Source organism: Homo sapiens, chromosome 13 (genome assembly GCF_000001405.40).
Source record: "Homo sapiens chromosome 13, GRCh38.p14 Primary Assembly".
Classification (NCBI taxonomy): domain Eukaryota; kingdom Metazoa; phylum Chordata; class Mammalia; order Primates; family Hominidae; genus Homo; species Homo sapiens.
The window spans coordinates 32,414,909-32,430,873 of record NC_000013.11 but is presented as its reverse complement, the minus strand read 5'-3'; the positions used below and the strand labels follow the sequence as shown (position 1 = coordinate 32,430,873).

At 46.0% G+C, this 15,965-nt stretch overlaps 1 protein-coding gene and 1 non-coding gene across 29 annotated transcripts in view, besides 4 other annotated features; both read left to right on the top strand.

Annotated features, from left to right (window-relative positions):
* Positions 1 to 1,258: 1,258 nt before the first annotated feature.
* The window catches only part of N4BP2L1 (NEDD4 binding protein 2 like 1), a 28,893-nt gene continuing 14,186 nt past the window's right edge, over positions 1,259 to 15,965 (top strand). For 13 of the 28 annotated variants that reach the window (NR_148479.2, NR_148477.2, NR_148476.2 and 10 more), the window contains exon 1: positions 2,744 to 2,970. Coding sequence is in view for 22 of the 28 variants with exons in the window: in NM_001353636.2 (NP_001340565.1) it covers positions 2,792 to 2,970 (179 nt within the window). In the remaining 6 variants the exon portion in view is untranslated. Of the gene's footprint in view, positions 2,096 to 2,743; positions 2,971 to 4,918; positions 5,953 to 10,297; positions 14,376 to 14,844; positions 14,916 to 15,965 lie in introns of those variants that run through there. The other 15 variants (XM_047430763.1, XM_047430761.1, XM_047430762.1 and 12 more) reach the window with 10 other exon arrangements.
* Positions 2,317 to 2,396: an enhancer, noted in NCBI's record as "active region_7559". NCBI's record gives its function as "activates an Ori minimal core promoter by ATAC-STARR-seq in GM12878 lymphoblastoid cells {active_cell/tissue: GM12878}" and the evidence as "EXISTENCE:reporter gene assay evidence [ECO:0000049][PMID:35858748]".
* Positions 2,797 to 3,666: a silencer, noted in NCBI's record as "silent region_5248". NCBI's record gives its function as "represses an Ori minimal core promoter by ATAC-STARR-seq in GM12878 lymphoblastoid cells {active_cell/tissue: GM12878}" and the evidence as "EXISTENCE:reporter gene assay evidence [ECO:0000049][PMID:35858748]".
* Positions 4,437 to 4,666: an enhancer, noted in NCBI's record as "active region_7558". NCBI's record gives its function as "activates an Ori minimal core promoter by ATAC-STARR-seq in GM12878 lymphoblastoid cells {active_cell/tissue: GM12878}" and the evidence as "EXISTENCE:reporter gene assay evidence [ECO:0000049][PMID:35858748]".
* Positions 4,727 to 4,776: an enhancer, noted in NCBI's record as "active region_7557". NCBI's record gives its function as "activates an Ori minimal core promoter by ATAC-STARR-seq in GM12878 lymphoblastoid cells {active_cell/tissue: GM12878}" and the evidence as "EXISTENCE:reporter gene assay evidence [ECO:0000049][PMID:35858748]".
* LOC124903256 (small nucleolar RNA SNORA16B/SNORA16A family) lies at positions 10,358 to 10,484 on the top strand. The gene has a single exon (XR_007063951.1). It is a non-coding gene; the product is annotated as a small nucleolar RNA SNORA16B/SNORA16A family (small nucleolar RNA).

Genomic DNA, 15,965 nt, shown 5'->3' with positions numbered 1-15,965 from the left:
TGATCTGCCTGCCTCGGCCTCCCGAAGTGCTGGGATTACAGGCGTGAGCCACCGCACCCGGCCTGTTCAGTCTTCATTTTTAGTAAATCCCAAACTCAGGATTATCTTTTAAGAAAATAGTTTAGGTTCATATACAATTATCAAGCACCTTCTGAATATCAGGCTGATATTGTGTTACAGCCTGGGCTGACAAAGATAAATAAGACACTATCCATGCCCTCTCACTTCCTCTAGTGAGAGGAAACAGATACCCAAACAGTTTACTTTAAACTGTGGTTTTGAGGAATACATTGGGAAAAATAGAACTTGTTGACTAGTTAAATGTCAACTAAAGAAAAGTGAAAGGACAGTGTGTAAGATCGTCTCCAGGTGCTGCTGACCATGTGATCCTCCTTGAAACTCCCTCCCTGGGCTTCCCTGCATCTTTCAGTGTTCTGTTTAATTGTTGGTCATTCAATCGTCCTCTCCTTTGCTAGATCCACTTGAGGGCACAGTCCTTAAATGCTGGTGTCCTCAGGACCCCTTCCTCAGCTGTCTTCTCTCTTCTCTATCTCCTTGTAGGGGAAAGGATTTCCAAAGCTCTGAGCTCAGCCACCTCTCCTAAGGAACACACTCACGTTTCCTGGCATCTGTTAGATAGCTCTACTTGCCACAAGCCCTGTGCTGAAACCCCTACCCACAAAGCTGCGTTGTCTTCCTGCAGCTGCTGCCTGGGACCTCTTAACAGAGGGAAATGGAAGTGGACGGATGCTTATGCAGCCCTGTCCAGTAGGAATATAATGCCAGCTACGTATGTAACTTAAACTCTCTAGGAGCCACAATGGAAGATAAAAATAAATGAAATTAATTCTAATAATATATTAACCCAATATACCCAGCACACCATTTCAACATATAACCAATATAAAAAAATTTTTAATATCTTTTTTCATACTGAATCTTCAAAATTCACTGTGTATTTTTAAAATTTTACTTTATGTTTTTTAGGAGACAGGGTCTTGCTCTGTTGTCCAGGCTCGAGTACAGTGGTACCATCATAGCTCACTGCAGTCTTGAACTTGCTGGCTCAAGTGATCCTCCCACTTCAGCCCCCCAAGGAGCTAGGACTACAGGCACACACCACCACAACCTGGCTAATTTTTGAATTTTTGGTAGATACAGGGTCTCACTATGTTGCCCAGGCTGGTCTCAAACTCCTAGCCTCAAGTGATCCTCCTGCCTTGGCCTCCCAAAGTGCTGGGACTACAGGCGTGAGCCACTGCACCGGGCCCGGGCACAGCGTGTTTGCAGTAGCCACATTCCAAGTGCTCACTAGCCACATGTGACCAGTGGCCCCCATATTAGCCAGTGCAGGTTAAAATGAAAAAGGTAGCATGTGAAGCTGGGCAAATTATGATAGGATACAGAGATTGTGTCACTATTTTTACGATTTATGTATATTTTCTGTTCCTTATGGGTTCCCTCCTAATATTTAGAGGTCTTTGAAATTCCATTGTTTCTTAGCAGTGCTGAGAAGAATGAGGAAAGTATTCTTCCTCCACGCTGGGAATGGATTTTCAAGGGAGAGCAGCTCATCTCCCACTCCGCCCTATCCCATCCCTAGAGGGAAATCCCAAGGGGAAGGGGAAGTTCTCAGCACAGAGCCCCTCCCCACTTGGATAGTCCCTTCCTAAAAGCTAACTGTGAAATCTCTGGATTTTGTTTTAGAAGGAAATCACTTTTTTCATAGTTGCTTTTCACAATTTTAGTACCTTAGCTGCCAGAAATAGAATTTATTACTTTACAATAATTATTATAGCCAAAGCCACCATATATTCTGCATTTCCCAGGATGGTGTCAGTTTTGAATGTTGTTTCTTTCAGGCAGGCATGGTGAATTTTGGTTCAGAAAACAGGATCACTCTGTCACGCTCTTGAGGGTGAACTGTTGGAGAGTCACTGTGGTGATCAACCAATGGGTACTCCCTAGTTCCTGGAACTGAGAACTTCAGTCTGGATACTTCTCTATAAATGGTTTCGGTAGACTCTGCCACTTTCCCCGGGGATCTGAAAGAGTTCTCCAAGAAGCCCCCACTTCTCAGGCGGCAACAGGGCAGGTACCTGGGCGGTAGCCCTTATGCTACTGTTCATAAATCAATCTGAGTTTTATGGGTGCTTTTTCTGAGGAAGGAGAGATTTAAAGTTATGTAGCGGCAACAAAGCTTTCTAATAATATTTTTGGCAGGCTGCTAAAGAAAGATGAAATAAGAAAAGATACAAGCCCTGGGAGAGTGGTGGTAGCCCTTGGGACGCCAGCCAGATGTTGGTGCTCACAAATCGGGGGAGACAATGGCCTTTACTGTTGCCATTTACAATGCCGGGCAGCTCATTAATCATCAGCTAAAATGATTTCACTTTCAGGGTCTAGGCAGGTCGGGGCTGGGGTTGGGGAGGGCTGTGGCAGGAGGCCTGGCTTCCAGGCCGGGGAAGTGTCCCAGAGACCTACTAGACGGGGCCCCTCCCCTCCACTGCTCAGGGCAAAGGGCACCAGGAGGCGGAGCGGGGGTCGAGGTGGGAGTGGGTGCGTCACCCTTGTTTTCCGGGCTGTGAGTCTCCCAGCGTCCCCAGCTTTCCAGGTAGGGACGCCCCCTCCCACGCAGCACGGTTCCGGCGGGTGGAAAGGAGGGGCTGGGCTCCCAGCGCCCGCCCCTCTATCCATCACATGGCCGGAGAGTCACAAAAACAACAGCTTTGGCCAAGACCGTGACTTCAGTAAAGGGAACCCGGGGCTCTCGCAGCCAGCCCTCCTGCCCATGGAGGACAGTTTCCTTCAATCTTTTGGGAGGCTGAGCCTCCAGCCCCAGCAGCAGCAGCAGCGGCAGCGGCCGCCCCGGCCGCCCCCGCGGGGGACACCTCCTCGCCGCCACAGCTTTAGGAAACACCTCTACCTCCTGCGAGGCCTCCCGGGCTCCGGGAAAACTACACTGGCCAGGTAATGACAGCGGTCTGGGCGCCGGTGCACGGGCCCGGGGCCACCAAACGCCCCGGCCGAGCGCACCCCTGCCCCAAGCCGCTCCCGGGCGCCGCTTGCGCCCCCGCCGCGGGTGCCTGCCGCGGCCCCGGCCCCAGCCCCAGCCCAAGCCTGAGCCTGGCAGCGCGGGGAGCCCGAGCCGCCTCCCTCGACCCCTGAGGCCGTTGCCACCCCTGGCGCCTGAGGGCGCGGGCACGGAGAGGAGGGAGCTCGTCCTGTTTGTTTCCCGCCGCGCTGTCCCGGGGGGGACGGATTCCCGTACTGCGCCTCGCGCAAGCCCCAGCGGCCCCGGCCCCTTCCCCGCCGCCGTGCCCCGCCTGGGGCCAGCCGGGCCGAAGCAGCCTTCACCGCCCCCAGCCTCCCCAGCCCCAGGTCGGGAGGGACTCTTCTTCGGGAAAACCCGGTGGCGACTGCAGAGAAAACCGCCGGGCCCCGCTGGCGCGCAGGCGGCCGCTACAGTGCGTCAACAGGCGCTGTAATCCGAGCGCATAAACGAGGGGTCCGGGGGTGGGGGCCCGGGGCGGCCGTGGCAGTGGCCCGGGGCTGGCAGCCCGCTTTGAAAATCTGGCGAAGTCGGGGAGCCTGCGTTTGCTTTGGCAGCTGCGAAGGCGCACAGGTGCACGGGGGCGGGGGGCTGGCTGGCGGCGCCACCACCGACCGTCACTGACAGAGCCTCGCCATGGGCGCCCAAATTCGTTCACTTGCGAATTGCGTAAGCGGCCCTCCGGTACCCAACCTCTGGGAATTACGCGGGCTTGTGCCTGTGGCCACCTTGCTAGGCCCCACCGCTCCAGCCTGAACTCCCACCGCTCCCTGCCTTGCGCTTGATGTTCCAGCAACTTCGAACTGTTTTTATCTCCTGTAAACCAAGCCGCTTCTCTCCTTGACGCTGGCCTTCCTGCCTGGCTTGCCCTCCCGCCTTCTTTTGCCTTTTAAGACCGGGCAGCTATCCCACCCCGCCAGTATATGCCCCTCTTCTGGGCTCCTTGGCTTCCTGTTTATACCTACGTGACTGTGCTTACTTTTTTGCACATGGTTTTTCTTATCCTTCTGTAAGTTTCTTGAAGGTAGGAGCCATGTCTTACCCTGCCAAGCACATTGTCTGGCACGTAGTAGCTGTTCAGTAGAGGAAGTGGTCCCTTTCCCTCAAAGGGCTTCCCGTCTCACTGGAGAGATAAGGCTAGCCATGGTACCAAGGAACTGCCGAAGAATCAAGGTGATGGACAGTCACGTGCGGATTTCGATGGTGCCGAGATAGTGACCTTAGGAGGAGGGACAGCCTGGGGAGGTGCTCCTGGTTGACTCGCGGAGTAGAAGCTTTTGGCCAGAATATTGCTACATTTTCACAAATTGCAGGGACATGTGACTTCTGGAGGACCGTGGGCACCCTTTCCTAAACCAGGGACACATTTCAATAGACCCTCTCTGGCTCGCTGGGGAGGGGAGGTGGAGGACAGAGGCAGAGTCGGGGAGCCTCCTTGGAACTCAGCAGTTGGTTATTTTGTGATACAGTCATGGTGGGTAAATCTGTTACCAACCAAGTATCTTCTGAATGTCAAATCCTGTTTAATTTCACTTTCGCTTTGCTGATCTGTGGCCTGCCTCATACTGAGTGTCAAAGAGACACTGAGTGTCAAAGAAGGAAGTAAACGTCTTTGGCCAGATTTAATTTCTGACTCTGTTGGGAAGCGAAGTAACATGATGGGTGCAAGATACACAGAATGGAACATCAGGGGCTTGGATTCACATTCCTCATCTGTGAAGCCAGGGCGTTGCCTGAGTGGTCCTTAGGGTCCTTTCTGGCTCTAACATTCTGCACTTTTAGGATTTTAATTCCTGATTGACATTTGGCTAAGCAGAAGACACCGGATGAGAGAACACCTATTACAGACCATCTCTCTCTCTCTAGGGACGACTGGAGTGAGCACTGGCCTGGGAGTCTGAAGATTGTGCCTTCAGACCTACTTCGTCACTTACTAGCTGGCGACTTTGGTCAGTCATCTAGTTTTTCCGGGCCTTATGTTCCTTACATGTGACTACTAAAAGGCTACTAGATTATAGGATTTATTAAAGATCCTTCTGACTCTTAATTTCCAGTGGTCAGATTAAAAATAGTTTGCTAATAATGGCTATGTTAAAGAGCTCTGACCTTGGAGTCAATTTATGGCTCCACATCCAAGCTCTACCATTCACTAGTTTTGCTTTTCACCCAACCCCTCTGTGCCTCGGTTTCCTTTTCTGTTAAATGGGGATATCTGTTCTGTTTGCCTCTGAGGGTTTTGTGAACATTAAATGTGTGTGGGAGGACTTTTTAAACTTAAAGTGCTATATACATTTTAAGAGGTGTTAGTTACTGCTCCGTTGTTGGTCAGCTGAGATAAATCTTCAGTGTTCCCTGGATCCTGGCTCTGGAGTGAAGAAGGTAGCTTGGCAGTTGACTTTGAGTCCTCCCGTTTCGCTGGGCATTGGCAGTTCTGGGAGCAGAGCAGCCTTGGCATGCCATGGGGTGGATTGTGTGTTTATAGAAAAGTCTGGGACGTAAGCGAGGAAATGGGCCACAGCTCAGCGGAAGGGAGGCCGGTGGTGAGGATGGAATGGTGGAGAGGCAGGCTCAGGTGTGGCCCACCAGGAGCTGCCTTCCCCACTTTTTTGGGAGGTAGGGTGGGGAAGAAGAAAAGAGCAAATTGTTTAAAAATACACATGTATATAGAAAATAGTAAAACTGTAAGGTTATCTGTGTGTTGTTGGATTCTGGGAAATTCACATTTTCTCTATTCTCTGTATTTTCCAAATTTTCTATAACGAATATGTATTTCTTAGAATAAAAATTTTTTTCTTCAAAATTTGGAGGAAATCGCTTTTTACAAATGTGGGTTCATCTTTTTCTGCTTAACCTTTTTTCTCATTTGATTAAAGAACTAATAAAAATGTTTTTGAAATTAAGATATGTCTTGTCTCCCAAATCAATGTTAGATTTCTGTGCTTTTTACATGTTTTCATAGTTTGAAGTGGATGGAATGTGGAAAAACATCTATTTAAATTCTTTGAATTTATTTTTTAAAAGTTGGAGTTTTAACTGATTAAATTTTTTGAGCACATCAAAGTACTGACAAATTAGCATGTGCCCTAAATCTGCTTTATCACCCGTGTTTCATTTAAAAAGCATATTACAGATAGGTTCTTACCACTGACCTATAAGCTCTACTTCCAGGAATTCATCCTAAGAAATAATTGGAGGGTGGAGCGGTGGCTCATGCCTGTAATCCCAGCACTTTGGGAGGCCGAGGTGGGTGTCCACTGAGTACTTATAAGACCTTTAGCACTTGTTTAGGGAAGCATATGCCAAATAAGCATATGAGAAGGCGCCTGCCTGGGATTAACCAATGGAAAGACATAATCAGCCCACTGCTGTGGGTAAGGGCCAGTGGGGAGTGGCATCTCAAATGCTGTTGGTGGTGAAGGCTGGGGAGGCAGTGAGGAGGATGAAGGCTAATTAGGGAGAAAGGATCTTCTCCACATGGAGACGGTTCTTGAGCTGGCCTTGAAGATGGGAAGGAGGTGGCTGAACGAAGGAAAAGGAACAACAGCCCGACTAAGGAGATGGAGGTGGCAGAGAGCTGGGTGTGCTCCCGGGCTTGATTGAAGTGAAGGCTTCATTGTAGTAAGTGTATTGGTGAAGTAAGCCCAGGACCAGATCATGGAGAACATTAAAGGCTGAACAAAGGAGTAGAGAGCTGTTGTCAGAAGAAATAAGATTCTAATGCCAAGACCCTTTCATTCTCAGCAGATGAGCCAGAACTCTCTCTTTCACAGCTCAGCTGACAAACTCACCTGGAACTGCACCTGTCCTTTCCGCTACCTCAATGAAAGCATCCATGGGTGAACCTCTGTGCTTTCCACTGTGTGTGTTAAAATGCCTTCCGGTTTTGACCATTTAAACCATTTTTATATACAATCCACTGGCATTGTATTATGTGGAACTACACTCACAATGTTGTACAACCATTACCACTATCTATTTCAAAAATTTCTTATCACTCCAAACACACTCTGTGCCCATTAAGCAATAACTGCCTATTCCCCACTCCCCCGACCCCGGGTAACCTCTCAGCTACTTCCTGTCTCTATGCATTTGCCTCCTTTACATGCTTCATGTAAGTGGATCATATGGTATTTGTCCTTTTGTGTCTGGCTAAATTTCATGTAGCTTAATGTTTTCAAGGTTCATCCATGTTGTAGCATGTGTCAGAACTTTACTATTTTTGTATCTCAATAAAATATTACCTTGTATGGGCATACCACTAAAACATCCTTTTTAAATGAAATTGCCATAATAGAGGGTAGCCTTTCTTTGTTTTTTCATGGTCTTATTTGAAAAATTAAAAGTTGTCAATCTTATTTCAGTTCCCCAGAATTTTTTTGAATCTTTACATTTCAATCAAAGCAAAGTCAGGGGAACCACCCTGTAGTACATGTTGCATCCTTTGCAATGTTCTGGTTCCTTTTGGCACCATCACAAATGGTTTGTAACATGGATTCAGTTAGGCTCAAAGGATGCCCGCTGACAGCTGTCTTTTCTCCTTATTCATATCTCTGGATAACATGGAATTTTCCATCATGAGAAGTACCTTTTCATTATTTCTTTTCATTATAGAGCCTTGCACAGAAGTGAAAGGATGCTTTTCTAATGTGATGCAATGGTAAGGCGGAGATGGGGAGAAAAGTATACTTTACAACCAGATAAGCAGTGGAATGTGAGAAACAGTGAGAACAGGGGGCCAGTTAAGTTGGCTAAGTAGTGAGTAGTTGGACCCCAAAGAATACTCTGCTCCACAGTGCTCCTAGCCAGCAGGCCTGGACTGTGGTGTGTTTCTTTATGAGGCCAGGGCTCTCATTAATAAAAGCAAGCTCACAATAGAATGTTTGCAGCATTCCAACTCTGTGAATATAAAAGTGGAGGGTCAGACAGGTGATATATCAAATCTTTAGTCATCTAGGTCTACTTGGAAAATGACTACTAGCTTTTTGTATTTTTCACAATTTTCCTAAGGTGGGTCCTAAATCTCCTCTCCTCACTACCGAGAGTCCTTGTCCTTACCCTCTCTCTGGAGGCTGGGATGAATGAGGACTTAAAAGCTGTATCTGTTTAACAAAGAGTGCAAATATACAGCGTGGTATGTGCTTGTTCTTGCTCATTGGAGAGGCTGTATCAGGAAAGATTGCCCAGCTATACAGGAGATTCACCACAAACACATTCCTGGAGCTGTTGGAACAATGGAAGAAGACCCTGCTGAACTGGGGCAATCCGATATTGCAGGTGTGGATTATGACCCGAGAGGAAGTAGAAATGGATGAAGGAAGGAAGAATAGGGGAAGAATACTTTCAAAGGAAAAGTTCAGGAGATGTATAGGAACTCCCCTGGAGTTCATCTGGTCTGAGCCCAAGACACTGAGAAGCTAAACATCTTGATCAGGGTCAAAGGGATGTGTTCTCCTATTTCTAACAGCTTTTTTTGTGTACCCCAAAAGAAGAGGCCGGAAAGGGGGTGATCTCGTGAAAGGGTAATGAGTTTGGTTTTGATCTGTCGTATAATGAAAAAACAAGAGCCTTATAAGCGGGCTAAGTTAACCTGGATTTCAATTGTCAGGGTAAGGAAGCTACATTTTTTGTTGTCAATATTAATGTTTCTCATAATATAAAAAATATTACTCACCAGGGAATTTATTTTCTTTATTAACGTACCATTGAGGGCAATGGGAGGAAATGAGATTTAGATTTTTAAATACGTTTCCATATTTATCCTGGTTATGATGTGTTGGAGAGAGATGTGGTAGTCAACTTCCAACTCCCAAGCAGGTCTAAAGTCTCTTTCTCATCTGCTCACATGTTAGGATATTTATAAGTCAATGCCTTAGTTCCTTCATGGCAGTTTCATGAACCTTCCCCTACATAATAGCACCCGCCTATGGCCACTCAGTCTCTGGATGAACCCAATAAGAATTTTTTTTTAGTCACGCCAAGTTATCTGAAGATACTGAGGCTCTCTGGGATTAAGGAAATTTTATAATAAAGAAAAATTAGTCTGCCTTCCAACTGTTCCTTCATAAGGCAGATCATATGTATGGCTTGGGGAGAAGGCTGTTTTTATCAAGGTAAGAGTCTGGGAAAGGGGAAGGGAGAAATGGGGAAAGAAAAGCCAGCACATGGTTACTGCTGACTGTCTGCCCGGCCCTTTTTGGACACTGGCTTATTGAATCTTCACAATAACCCTGGGATGTAGTCATTTTTATTTTATAGATGAGGATTTTAGGATTGGAGAGTCACACATTTGAGAGACTCAGGGGATTTCATAATACACCAAGTGATCTTATATTACTAGGGAAGTTCATGGACAAACATACCTACATCCCTTTCACAATTATTGGGGAGTCCTGCTGAAGTATGATTGTATAGCCAGGATTGTCCAGCACTCTTTCCCCACAGATTTTAAGGATATGCTGAAGAAGAAAGAGGGCCTGAAAGGGACTTTCATGCTACCATTTGTTGCCTTGTACCTTGGCTTTCTTTTCTTCTTGGCATTGGTACCACTGACGTATATTTATTTATTATCTATTTCTTTTACTAGAACGTAAGCTTCATGAGATATGATGTAAATTCCATGAGATCAGGAACTTTATTCTGTCCAGCTCCTAAAAGAAGGCCAGGCACATCACAGGCCTTTATTCAACATTTGATGAATGCATTAGTTCATGAAACGCAATGTGAGATGCCTCCTAAGATGTGGAAGCTTGGATGTCAGCATGGCTCTTGAGTAAAGAACGAAACCAAAGGGCAGATTATTCACATAAAGAGAAATGTAAAAGAATGAGGCTGGGCATGGTGGCTCATGCCTGTAATCCCAGCACTTTGGGAGGCTGAGGCGGGTGGAATCACCTGAGGTCAGGAGTTCGAGACCATCCTGGCCAACATGGTGAAACCCCGTCTCTACTAAAAATGCAAAAAATTAGCTGGGCATGGTGGCAGGTGCCTGTAATCCCAGCTACTTGGGAGGCTGAGGCAGGAGAATCACTTGAACCTGGGAGGTGGAAGTTGCAGTGAGCCGAGATTACGCCATTGCACTCCAGCCTGGGCAACAAGAGCAAAACTCGGTCTAAAAAAAATAAAATAAATAAAAAAGAATGAATGGGATATGGAGGACAGACAAGGGGGAAGAAAAGGAAAAAACAGAGCCACTCATTCCAAAGTTCTCAATTCGGTGCATAAGAAAATGATTCCTATTTGTTGCAGGTGAAAATGTTTGATGTGCCGGCTCCTTTACCTCATAGTTACAGTAAGAAGAAATTTAAAAATTGGGATCAAAGATGCAGCCGCCTTCCCATTTAAGCAGCACAGACAGCCCAAAGTGACAGTTTTCCTGTACAGTTACTCTTCTGTTATCTGTAACTGATCTATGACATTTTGGGAAAAAACAGCCAAAAAAAATTAGTACTGAGGTAGGTGTGCCTGATTCCTTCCCCAATTCTGCTCATGACTGAACCAACAGAACACAAACACAGGTGAAACCTGCACAGCTGTGAGAGCCTACAAAAGTTCACATGCAAGATACTTAAAGGAATTTCTGCTCAATAGAGTCTGTGGGACCACACTGACAAACGAGAATGAGGGCTCTCTGGGAGCCTGGCTTTGGACCTCATGAACATGGTCTACTTTGGAGGTATGAGGGGTAAAGGTAAGAGAAGTAGGGCAGACTGGGAACTGTTCCCTGAGTCCCCCTAGCCACTGTGGCTTGGGGACACTTGAGGCTAGCAGTGATTGAGGCTTGGCTCTCCAAGGACAGGACTTGGCCCTGGTGGGGTGGGTGGCAGCACTGCCCAGGTTCGGCCACACCTGGCCTCAGGGGAGGCTGCCCATGTCATCTATAGCTTGGCTCCCTCCCTGCTCTCAGGCTGCTGAGCCATGGAATCTGTTTTCTATCTCCCAGTTTAAAGTCCTCAAGAAGAATGTCAGTAGCATTCAGAGGAAGTGCTGGGATCCAGGAAGAATCCTCTCCGTCAGTCTCCTTTAAGGGTTGTATTAGTCTGTTCTCATTCTACTAATAAAGACATACCCAAAACTGGATAATTTATAAAGGAAAGAGGTTTAATTGACTCACAGTTCAGCATGGCCGGGGAGGCCTCAGGAAACAACTTACAATCGTGGTGGAAGGGGAAGCAAACATGTCCTTCTTCACATGGCGGCAGGAAGGAGAAGTGCTGAGCAAAAGGGGGAAAAGCCTTATGAAACCATCAGATCAGCCGGGCGCAGTGGCTTATGCCTGTAATCCCAGCACTTTGGGAGGCCAAGGCAGGCAGATCACCTGAAGTCAGGAGTTCAAGACCAGCCTAGCCAACATAGTGAAACCCCGTCTGTAAAATACAAAAAAAAAAAAAAAAAAAAAAAAAAAAAAAAAAATTAGCCAAGCATGGTGGCAAGCACCCGTAATCCTGGCTAGTCAAGAGGCTGAGGCAGGAGAATCACTTGAACCCGAGAGATGTAGGTTGCAGTGAGCTTAGATTGTGCCACTGCACTCCAGCCTGGGTGATCGAGCAAGACTCTGTCTCAAAAAAAAAAAAAAAAAAAAAAAAGCCAGATCTTGTGAGAACTCACTATCATGAGAACAGCATGAGGGTAACTGCTCCCATGATTCAGTTACCTCCCATCGGAGGTAATTCCCATGACGTGGGGATTATGGGAACTATAATTCAAGATGAGATTTGGGTGGGGACTGCCCCTGGCTCCTCCAAAATCTCATGTCCTCACATTTCAAAACACAATCATGTCTTCCTAACAGTCCCCCAAAGTCTTAACTCATTCCAGCATTAACTCAAAAGTCCAAGTCCAAAGTCTCATCTGAGACAAGGCAAGTCCCTTCTGCTTATGAACCTGTAAAATCAAAAGCAAGTTGGTTACTTCCTAGATACAATGGGGGTACAGGCATTGGGTAAATACACCTATTCCAAATGGAAGAAATTGGCCAAAACAAAAAGGCTATAGGCCCCATGCAAGCCCAAAATCCAGCAGGGTAGCCAAATCTTAAAGCTCCAAAATGATCTCCTTTGACTCCATGTCTCATATCCAGGTCATGCTGATGCAAGAGGTGGGCTCCCATGGCCTTGGGCAGCTCCACCCCTGTGGCTTTGCAAGGTACAGCTCCACTCCTGGCTGCTTTCACAAGCTGGCATTGAGTGTCTGCGGCTTTTCCAGGCACAAGCTGCAAGCTGTCAGTGGATCTACCATTCTGGGGTCTGGTGGGCAGTGGCCCTCTTCTTACAGCTCCACTAGGCAGTGCCCCAGTGGAGCCTCTGTGTGGGGGCTTTGACCCCACATTTCCCATCTGCACTGCACTAGCAGAGATTCTCCATGAGGGCACCACCCCTGCAGCACACCTCTGCCTGGAAATCCAGGCATTTCCATACATCTTCTGAAATCTAAGTGGAGGTTCCCAAACCTCAGTTATTGACTTCTGTGCACCCACAGGCCCAACACCATGTGGCAGCTGCCAAGGCTTGGGGCTTGTACCCCCTGAAGCAATGGTCTGAGCTGTACATTGACCCCTTTTAGCCATGGCCAGCCAGAGCTGCTGGGAAGCAGGGCACAAAGTTTCAAGGCTGCACACAGCAGGGGGGCCCAGGACCCATCTCATGAAACCATTTTTCCCTCCTAGGTCTCCAGGCCTGTGATGGGAGAGGCTGCCATGAAGTCCTCTGCCATGCCCTGGAGACATTTTCCCCATTGTCTTGGTGATTAACATTTGGCTCCTCGTTACTTAGGCAAATTTCTGCAGCTGGCTTGAATTTCTCACCTGAAAATGGGGCTTTCTTTTCTATCACATCATCAGGCTGCAAATTTTCCAAACTTTTGTGCTCTGCTTCCTCTTGAATGCTTTGCTGCTTAGAAATTTCTTCAACCAGATACCCTAAATTGTTTCTTTCAAGTTCAAAGTTCCACATGTGGATCTCTAGGGCGGGGCAAAATGCCACCAGTCTCTTTGCATAGCAAGAGTGACCTTTACTCCAGTTCCCAGTAAGTTCCTCATCTCTGAGACCACCTCAGCCTGGACTTCATCGTCCATAGCAGCATTTTGGTCAAAGCCATTCAACAAATCTCTAGGAAGTTCCAAACTTACCCACATATTCCTGTCTTCTGAGCCCTTCCATTAGTTCCAGTCTCTGCCTGTTACCCAGTTCCAAAGTTGCTTTCACATCTTTGGGTATCTTTACAGCAGTGCCCCATTCTCTGTGGTACCAATTTGCCGTTCTCACACTGCTAATAAAGACATACCCGAAACTGGGTAATTTATAAAGGAAAGAGGTTTAATTGACTCACAGTTCAGCATGGCTGGGGAGGCCTCAGGAAACTTATAATCATGGTGGAAGGGGAAGCAAACACATCCTCACATGGTGACAGCAAGGAGAAGTGCTGAGCAAAAGGGGAAAAAGCCCCTTATAAAACCATCAGATCTTGTGAGAACCCACTATCATGAGAACAGCATGAGGGTAACCATTGCCATGATTCAATTACCTCCCACTAGGTCCCTCCCATGACACATGGGGATTATGGGAACTACAATTAAAGATGAGATTTGAGTGGGGACACAGCCAAACCATATTGAGGACGAACTGAATCTAAGGTTTGGGTAAAATTCTCATTGTACAAAAATGAGTAAATAGAAATTCTCACACAGCTTGGGACTCTATAAAAAAGTTTGCCAGCTGGGCCTGGTGGCTCAAGCCTGTAATCCCAGTACTTTGGGAGGCCAAGGCGGGTGGATCATGAGGTCAGGAGTTCGAGACCAGCCTGGCCGAGATGGGGAAACCTCGTCTCTACTAAAAATACAAAAATTAGCCAGGGGTGGTGGCACGCGCCTGTAATCCCAGCTACTCGGGAGGCTGAGGCAGGAGAATTGCTTGAACCCAGGAGACAGAGATTGCAGTGAGCCGAGATCATGCCATTGCACTTCAGCCTGGGCGACAGAGCAAGACTCCGTCTGGAGGGGGGTGGGGCGGGGAACAAAAAAAAAAGAGTTCGCATAATTAGGCTAAAAGAGCGTCGTATTCAGGAGCCATTAATACATTCACAGATATTTACTGAGCATCTCCCATGTGCCTGGCATTCTTCTAGATGCTCAGAATGGAGCAGTGGACAAAGGAGACAAAAATCCCTGCCTTCATGGAACATGTATTCTATCAGAGAAAAAAAATTCTCAAGGAAAAAAGGCAATTTTAGCATCTGCTCTGCTCTGTTCTCTCAAAAAATAAGCAAAGGATTTCACAGGTATGCCACCGGAGGTATATATCCCCAGGAAATGTCCACATACACACAAGAGGTAGGCATAAGGAAGTTCACTGAAATTTGTTCATGATATGGAAAATTGCAAATAAGTATCACTAGAGAAAATACATAAATAAATGTGGTTATTTTATAGCGCTCAAGCACAGCAGTTTAGTGTGCGGCTCTGGGGCCAGAAGCCTAGGTTTTAATCCAGTTGTACCACTCGTTGGCCCTAATTTCTTTGTCTGTAACATGGGGATTGGGGATTCATAGCAGTGCTTATCTCCCAGGTCTATTTGAGCATTACGTAAAAAATGTAAAGCCTCTAGAATAGTGGTTAGCACACAATAAGCACTTAATAAACATTGGCTATATTTATTATTTTGCTGATAATGGAGTACTATGTAGCAGTTAAAGAAAATGGACTAAGTCTATATATCAACATAAATAGATCTAAAAAATGTAATGCTCCTTCATTTTTTAATTCAACAAGTATTTATTGAGTGTTTATGTGTTCCACACAGTGTTCTAGGTACTTGGGAATCATCAGTGAACAAAACAAAGATCCTGCCCTTGTGGACCTTATGTGCCAGAGGTAGGGAAATGGATATAACCTCTAAGGAAACCGTATGTTAATTTAGGCGGTGATAAGTGCTGTTGAAAAGGGGAGAGAGAAGCACGGTAAAGGTTTCTGGGAGTGCCAGAGTTAAAGTGGGGGTTGGTTGAATTTTAAGCCAACAAAACAAGTATGAGAAAATGTTCATGATTATGAGCTTTAGGTGGTGTGTATGCAGGTGTGTTATTATTTCTTTTGTCTTTCTCTATATTTACATTTTTTCTAAAAAATTCCTCTCTATGATATAAAAGATTAAAGAAAAACTCCTGATTAGGAGTCTAAAATACGAAGGAAGTTGGTTAAGAAGCAGAAAATTAAAAAGGAGTTAAATGATATATAAAAGAATCTAAAGTAAGTGTTAGAATTTTAAAGTATATTAGAGATAAGCAGAGTCACAATGCAGAAAATCAAACAATAATGTAGAAGACAAATGTGAAAATAAATATAGCCAAAAATAACCAGAGTAAATACAACCAAAGCAACAAATAAAGATATCATAGAACATATTTGACTTGAAGGCTCAGAAGTGATTAAAAAAATAAATTAAATATCTAGATATATCCTGGAAAGACTGTTGCAAAAGCTGTTAGTTAACTACCCTTTCTTCTTTAGCAAGCACACTTTGTTGGGTGTGGCAGTGTGCCCAACTATAAAACTAGTTTTCAGGGCCCCCTTGCCTCTTTGGCTGTGTGGAACATGGAGGTGCAGCCTGGCCCTGCAGTGGCCACTAGGAGGCCCTCTGAAGAATGGAAGCCTCTTGCTAAAAAAGATGCTAGACTCCTGGGTCCATGTTGATCATGGAGTTGTGACACCAGCTCTGGATTCTACCTCTGTCTTTTTACACACAAGATATAGACATTTTAATTTTATTGAAGCCACCACTGTTAGAAATCCACTAACTGGGGTTTCTGTTCAATGCATGTGAACCCACTTTGAACTGAAACCTAAATTTAAAATATTAATGCCTGTGGGGAAAAGATTGTAGTTCAGTAATTCTCATCTAGCCTGTTGTCTTTCATACGAAGACAA